At 47.5% G+C, this 7,819-nt stretch overlaps 2 long non-coding RNA genes across 3 annotated transcripts, besides 1 other annotated feature; one reads left to right on the forward strand and one right to left on the reverse strand.

The window, feature by feature from the left end:
- Positions 576-730: a silencer, noted in NCBI's record as "fragment chr18:11267-11421 (GRCh37/hg19 assembly coordinates)". NCBI's record gives its function as "represses an EF-1alpha promoter that drives an FKBP-Casp9 reporter gene in an ReSE screen in phorbol 12-myristate 13-acetate-treated (for megakaryocytic differentiation) K562 erythroleukemia cells {active_cell/tissue: K562(+PMA)}" and the evidence as "EXISTENCE:reporter gene assay evidence [ECO:0000049][PMID:32094911]".
- On the forward strand, positions 869-5,239 carry LINC02564 (long intergenic non-protein coding RNA 2564). 2 transcript variants are annotated; one of them, NR_149138.1, is made up of 3 exons: positions 869-904; positions 2,461-2,663; positions 4,926-5,239. It is a non-coding gene; the product is annotated as a long intergenic non-protein coding RNA 2564 (long non-coding RNA). The 2 variants fall into 2 exon arrangements; NR_149137.1 differs by lacking the exon at positions 869-904 and adding an exon at positions 1,384-1,692.
- Positions 3,547-4,902, reverse strand: LOC124904234 (uncharacterized). Its single transcript, XR_007066262.1, has 2 exons — positions 4,160-4,902; positions 3,547-3,962 (listed from the first exon to the last, which is right to left on the reverse strand). It is a non-coding gene; the product is annotated as an uncharacterized LOC124904234 (long non-coding RNA).
- Positions 5,240-7,819: the final 2,580 nt, after the last annotated feature.

Here is a 7,819-nt window from a genome sequence, read left to right on the forward strand (position 1 = left end):
TCGCTGTGGCCCCGAGTTGTCCCAAAGCGAGGTAATGCCCGCAAGGTCTGTGCTGATCAGGACGCAGCTCTGCCTTCGGGGTGCCCCTGGACTGCCCGCCCGCCCGGGTCTGTGCTGAGGAGAACGCTGCTCCGCCTCCGCGGTACTCCGGACATCTGTGCAGAGAAGAACGCAGCTGCGCCCTCGCCATGCTCTGCGAGTCTCTGCTGATGAGAACACAGCTTCACTTTCGCAAAGGCGCAGCGCCGGCGCAGGCGCGGAGGGGCGCGCAGCGCCGGCGCAGGCGCGGAGGGGCGCGCAGCGCCGGCGCAGGCGCGGAGGGGCGCGCAGCGCCGGCGCAGGCGCGGAGGGGCGCGCAGCGCCGGCGCAGGCGCGGAGGGGCGCGCAGCGCCGGCGCAGGCGCAGGCGCGGAGGGGCGCGCAGCGCCGGCGCAGGCGCAGGCGCGGAGGGGCGCGCCCGAACCCGAACCCTAATGCCGTCATAAGAGCCCTAGGGAGACCTTAGGGAACAAGCATTAAACTGACACTCGATTCTGTAGCCGGCTCTGCCAAGAGACATGGCGTTGCGGTGATATGAGGGCAGGGGTCATGGAAGAAAGCCTTCTGGTTTTAGACCCACAGGAAGATCTGTGACGCGCTCTTGGGTAGAGCACACGTTGCTGGGCGTGCGCTTGAAAAGAGCCTAAGAAGAGGGGGCGTCTGGAAGGAACCGCAACGCCAAGGGAGGGTGTCCAGCCTTCCCGCTTCAACACCTGGACACATTCTGGAAAGTTTCCTAAGAAAGCCAGAAAAATAATTTAAAAAAAAATCCAGAGGCCAGACGGGCTAATGGGGCTTTACTGCGACTATCTGGCTTAATCCTCCAAACAACCTTGCCATACCAGCCCATCAGTCCTCTGAGACAGGTGAAGAACCTGAGGTCGCAGGAGGACACCCAGAAGGTCCAGAGAGAGCCTCCTAGGCCCCCCACCTCCCCCCGTGGCAGCTCCAACCCCAGCTTTTTCACTAGTAAGGCAGTCGGGCCCCTGGGCCACGCCCACTCCCCCAAGCGGGGAAGGAGCTTCGCGCTGCCGCTTGGCTGGGGACTGGGCACCGCCCTCCCGCGGCTCCTGAGCCGGCTGCCACCAGGGGTGCGCGCCAGCGGTGTCCGGGAGCCTAGCGGCGCGTGTGCAGCGGCCAGTGCACCTGCTCTGGCCCTCGCCGCGGTCTCTGCCAGGACCCCGACGCCCAGCCTGACCCTGCCATTCAGCGGGGCTGCGGCTCCACGGCCTGCGACAGCAGCCCCACCTGGCATTCAGCGCGCTCCCGGGGGCAGAGGTCGCGGTGTCCTCACGCTGTGGTGCCGGCCTACAACCCCCACGCCGGGCTCGGGCCCGGCGGAGGAGGGCGATGCTCCCCGGGTAGGACAAACCGGTCACCTGGGCTGCGAGGGCGGCTTAGGGGCAGAAGCGGCGGTCCAGGGCCGCCTGGCGCAGCAGCCTGTCCCAGCCGCGGTCCCTGCAGTCCCTCCCTGGCGGCTGCGCAGCCGTCCCACGACAGGGGCCATAAACTCTCCAGAGCGGAAAGCCGCACCCTGGTGGCCCGGCCCCGCGCCCAGACCTGGCGGCCGCTGGCACCTGACCCGCTGCATGGGTCTCCAGGGAGCTCGCTGCCCACCCGGCGCTGCAGGCTCGGCTCCCTCGTACACTCTCTGGTAGGTGCTAGGGACGACCCTATGGGCCAGCTTGCCATGCCCAGTCCCCAGGCCGCACCCACCCTGGCTCCCTGGGCTAGGGGACTGGCTCCTCCTGTGAGTCGTGGGTCTGGGAGGCAGGGGCGTTAGGGGAGAGTGAGGGACCGAGGGCAGCCCCTGCTGTGTGCACAGCGAGGTCGTGCACAGGCGTCTGTTGCAGAGCGTGCAGCTTCAGATGAGACTGGATTGCAGGTGGAGATGACTGTGGGTGCGCACACCTGGAGGTGAAGGGGAGGCAGCCTGTCTACCTGACCCATGAAATACAGGAGACTGTACCCCAGAAGCAGCGGGTTCACTGCTCCATTGATTAAGCAAGTCTGGGACACACATGTAGCTAAGCTGTGAGTTCTGTACCAGCGATCCCAACACCCACGCCCTCAGAAAGACACTGGTGTGGGGCCTGGGTGCTTGTCAGGCCTGAAAGTGGAGAGCACGGGCCAGAGACACTGAGTAGGGGGAACCCACCCTAGGGCTCTGAGGGACGACGATGTGGGGAGCTGGTGACAGAGCCTGAGCTGGCCCAATGTTGCACGGTGGGGACAGATTCGAGGTACAGTGGGGACTGGTGACCTCAGTTCCCAGTGTCCCAGCCTGGCCTCCCAGTCCACCCAGCAATTAGTGGGTGCTGCCCTGCAAAGACTCTGGGGGTGCCTCAGCCCTCCTCATCACACGTGACTGGTGACTTCTGTGTCCACCCGCACAATAAGAGGGATCTTCTCTCACTTTCAGGCAAGCCCAAGAAAGTCAGGGGCCTATGTGAGCCAAAGAGGAGAGAAGGTGATGCCTCAGCCCAGTGTTTCTGCCCCACCTCGCTTGTGGCCTTCGGAACTTGATTTGCACCGCAGGAAAATGGGCAATGAAAACCCCTCCCTAACTGGCTTCTCAGTCCACTCTGACCAGCCCACTGCACAGCGCCCACCCTGCAGCTCCAGGTACAGAGGCTGGGATGGCTCTGGGCTGACCTAAGGGCCTTCTGATGGCTCCAACCCTCGGGATGCCTCATGCTCACCCTTTGGCACCCACCTGACAGCTCAGCATCTCTGCTCTCTGCCATCCTCAATGCCTGCTCTAGACAAGCCCAAGTCCCCCAGGAGTGGCAGAGGGAACTGAGCTGAAAACTAAGTCTCGGCTCACTGAACCCCAAGTGGGCTGTCCAGCCTCGCCCTTCAGTTCACAACCCCAGGCAGGTTCCCTCCAGGGATGTGATCCCAGGGGCCACAGCAGCACATTCTGGCCTAACCTATCCACTATTTAAACAGTTACTGAAAAGGCCAGGATGGCCGTGGGCCCTGACATTAATCCCCTTTCTCTGTGAGGGGGCTGGGTTGGGTATGCCATCCTGATGTCTTTGTGGAAAGAGCTGGCAGGTGAAGCAAGTCTCAGGGGCCAGCCATGGGACAAGGAACCTAGGACTGGCCTCTGCTGGAACCCTCTGAGGCCCCTGCGGACAGGAGGATCCAATGGAGGTCTAGCCACCCCTCCCAGGTTGGTGCTCACAGCCCCTCCCTGGCCCACTCCCTGCACACCTGCACCTGCTGGTCTCTGGGAGAGGAGCATCCATCCATCTTGTGCGCATAGCTTTCGGCTCCATTTTCATGAGGATGGTCTCCTTGGCAGAAATGCCCATTAGGGGATCCTGAGCCTGTGCTAGCTCTTCTCTAAGTGCCAAAGCCAGTGAGAGGGACTTCAAAACTCAAGACTTATTAACATTATTTTCTGCATTTTGTGCTTTCAGGGTTGTTTTTTCCTTAAAATGTGTAAAAACAAACATTGAGATTTCTATCTTTTATATAATTTGGATTCTGTTATCACACGGACTTTTCCTGAAATTTATTTTTATGTATGTATATCAAACATTGAATTTCTGTTTTCTTCTTTACTGGAATTGTTAACTGTTTTATAGGCCAAATCTTTTAAAAAAAACACATCTCTCTAATTTCTCTAAACATTTCTAATTACATATATATTTACTATACCTAATACACTACTTTGGAATTCCTTGAGGCCTAAATGCATCGGGGTGCTCTGGTTTTGTTGTTGTTATTTCTGAATGACATTTACTTTGGTGCTCTTTATTTTGCGTATTTAAAACTATTAGATCGTGTGATTATATTTGACAGGTCTTAATTGACGCGCTGTTCAGCCCTTTGAGTTCGGTTGAGTTTTGGGTTGGAGAATTTTCTTCCACAAGGGATTGTCTTGGATTTTTCTGTTTCTCCCTCAATATCCACCTGGAAAACATTTCAATTAATTTATATTTACTTAAATATTTCTGTGCAAAAACTGTGTACAAAAGCCCCAAAGCATAATTTGTGCAGTTGAGCGCATGTTCTGTTGTTCAGCATTTATGGTGGTTGGTAGTGGAAAAGATTTTTAGAATATGTGGATTTTCGGGATATTCCCAGAAGCCCAGATAGCGACACTTTACCTTTGGAGGAATTACTTCTCAGAATATTGCACACAATCAATCGCCTTTGGAAGGAGCATATATCCCCAGCAAAAGCTCTGGTTTTTTGAAGTCTGTATTGTGTGTTACTTCCAGGAGAATATGCAATGATGACAATGTTATTAGATGATTCAAATATGAAATGCTGTTATGCCAAACAATGAATCTTTGTGTTATACATTATGCCTAACTATAAATCTTTGTGTTATACATTTTAATGTCATTGGAGAGTACTCCTGTCTTCTTGGCATTATTGATAATTAGATTCTAATTGCTAATAAGTCAGAAAAATTAGGAACACCAAATTTCAGTTGTCTCAAAAGCACTCCTCTTATTAAATTTGGATGTTTACCTTTATCACTTCAAAAGAAATATTGTTAGAAAGGTGTTTAATGTTTTGCAGATGGATAGATTACTGTTATTAGTTCTCATTTCATTGTTAATTTTTAAAACCATAAGGTTGGAAGTATCAATATGCCTTTCAATATACCTTAGTGGAATTTATTAAATTTTCATGGATGTCCTTTAGGGGGTTCAGGAAGTTATTTCTATTGCTAGATTTCTGGAAGATTTATCAGGAATGAGTGTCAGACATTGTCAGACGTCCATTGAAATCATCATGGTCTTTTCCTTTATTCTATTAATATGATGTATTACACTGATTGATTTTTAAATTTGTATTGGTAGGATAATTCCACTTGGTTATATTGTCTAACTTTTTTCTAATTTTCTTTCATTTTTATTACAGATGAGGCCTCACTCTGTCACCCAGGTTGGGGTGGAGTGGCACAGTCACAGCTCACTATAACCTCAAGCTCCTGGGCTCAAGTGATCCTGCCACCTCAGCCTCCTAAGTAGCTGGAACTACAGATGTGCACTGCCATGCCAGGCTTGTCTAACATTTTTATGTGTTGCTTCATCCAGTTTGCTAGAGTTTTTGGAGATTTCTGTCTTCATTCATGAGGGATAATAGTCTGCACTTTTATTTTCTTGTGATACTTTTGTCTGATTTGTTATCTGGGTAATACTGGCCTTGAAAATGAATTGATGTTTTCCTGCTTCTCTGCTTTGCAAGTGTTTGTGAAGGATTGGTTATTCATTAAGTGTTTAATAGAATTCACTAGTGAAGCTATGTGAGCCAGGGCTAGACTGATGAAGAGTTTTCATTAGTCTAATCTGTTTACTTGCTGTATAAGTACGCATATATTCTCTTTCTTCTTGATTTAATTTTACACTTTGTGTATAGCAGGGAATCTGTGTCTAATTTGTAGTATTTCATGCTTCTAGGTTTTCATGGCAGTTGAGATGTAAGAATAACAATAATGTTGGGAGAAGGAAGTTGTGGACAATCCATGAATATCCCAACATCTGTTGTAGGAAGGTTAAGATTACTTTTTTTTTTTTTGCTGTACTGAACTGAATACTCTTATTTATAATGTCAGACAAATGTAATGTTGTATATAAATAGAACTAGGAAAATGTGCCATTTGTCTTAGTATTTAATCAAGATGGAAGTCTGGGCCTACCTCCTCTCTTTTATTAATATGTAGACAGGACACCAACACAAATTAGAATTAAGACAAACAAAATGTTAGCAAATGAAGAATGGTATCAATTGGTTAAAATGTGATGAAATAGAGTGGTGAATATTTACATAGAATCCATGATGTGTTAGGTGCTATTTCAAGCTATTTGCACATATAGTTTTAATACCAATGACGTTAAAATGTATAACACAAAGATTCATATAAATAAAAATTACAACATTGTAAATAATATTAGGTGACACTAAAACTGTCATAGAAATACACATTTATATAAAACATAAAGTAACATGAAGTATTAAATTTTAGAAACTTTGATTACTAATCAGATGAACAACTGATTAGCCTTTTTATCCAGTAAAAAAGGCATACATATTATTTTCAAATTCCAGAGACAAATATTTTAAATATTGAAGTTGAAGACCTAAAAATGTGTCACTGACCTCATGGAAGTAGATATTCACTAGGTGATATTTTCTAGGCTCTCTGAAATTATATCAGAAAAATGTGAATTAGAATATAACCCATAAATAATATCTGGCCACATACAAAGTAATTGAAGATCAATTTAAATGGCTATTGGATTAAGAAATAGGGACTGAGGTAAATTTGCAGTGTCAGGGAGGATCTAAGGAGGAAGCATTGACACTGGAGCCCAAGGACCTGGGATCACAGAACAGATTCTACCAGTGCTAACTTACTGCTCCACAGAAAACATCAATTCTGCTCATGCGCAGGTACAATTCATCAAGAAAGGAATTACAACTTCAGAAATGTGTTCAAAATATATCCATACTTTGACATATTAATGAAGTAATCACATTCTACACATAACTACTCCATATGGAATACTGGGGAGGAGGTGTTCCAAATAAAGAGACTGAGGATTTCTCATGAGAACTCAGTGTCTGCTAGAAAATATCTAAGTAAAATATTTTACTTATGTGGAAAGTGTGGATGTTTGTGCATCAAAAGTTTCAAGAATCCCTAAAATTTACAATGGAGATGAGGAGAAAATATCAGAATTTCCCAGCACCAGAAATAAGGCAAGAAAAAATTCAGAGGGGTTGTAAATGTGAAAAGCCAATGGCTGGTCACACAGCAACATTGATAACCTTGTGCCTGGACAACTAGAATAAATACATAAACATACACATTGAAAATATTTCCAATATTAGATCTCCCTCATGTGAGAACTAAATTATAAAGATTGAAGCATAGAAGAAAATAAGCTACCAGAATAAATTTGATTACACATAAATTTCTGATATTGAAACTGTCACAAATGTTTAAGTTGGTAGTGGAAGACAAAGGACATATAATCTTGGGAGTCCTAAGGCCCTGCCCACTGCCAGTCCCTCCACACTACTACAGCTGATGCTTTCTGGAAATCACCACCTCCTGGCAGGAGCCCAACCAGCACAAATATAGAGCATTAAACCACCAAAGCTAAGGAGGCTCACAGAGTCTATTGCACCCTTCACCACCTCCACTGGAACAGGCGCTGGTATCCATGGCTCAGAGACCCAAAGATGGTTCACATCACAGGGCTCTATGCAGACAACCCCCAGTACCAGCCCAAAGCCACGTAGACCTGCTGGGTGGCTAGACCCAGAAGAGAGACAACAATCAATGCACTTTGGCTTACAGGAAGCCATGCCCATAGGAAAAAGGGGAGAGTACTACGTCAAGGGAACACCCCGTGGGATGAAAGAGTCTGAACAACAGTCTTCAGCCCTAGACCTTTCCTCTGACAGAGTCTACCAAAATGAGAAGGAACCAGAAAACCAACCCTGGTAATCTGACAAAACAAGAATCTTCAACACCCCCCAAAAAATCACACCAGTTCATCACCAATGGATCCAAACAAAGAAGAAATCACTGATTCATCTAAAAAAAAATTCAGGTTAGTTATTAAGCTAATCAGGGAGGGGCCAGAGAAAGATGAAGCCCAATGCAAGAAAATCCAAAAAATGATACAATACGTGAAGGGAGAATTATTCAAGGAAATAGATAGCTTAAATAAAAAAATAAAAAATCAGGAAACTTTGGACGTACTTTTAGAAATGTGAAATGCTCTGGAAAGTCTCAGCAATAG

Source organism: Homo sapiens, chromosome 18 (genome assembly GCF_000001405.40).
Source record: "Homo sapiens chromosome 18, GRCh38.p14 Primary Assembly".
In the NCBI taxonomy this organism is placed as follows: Eukaryota; Metazoa; Chordata; class Mammalia; order Primates; family Hominidae; genus Homo; species Homo sapiens.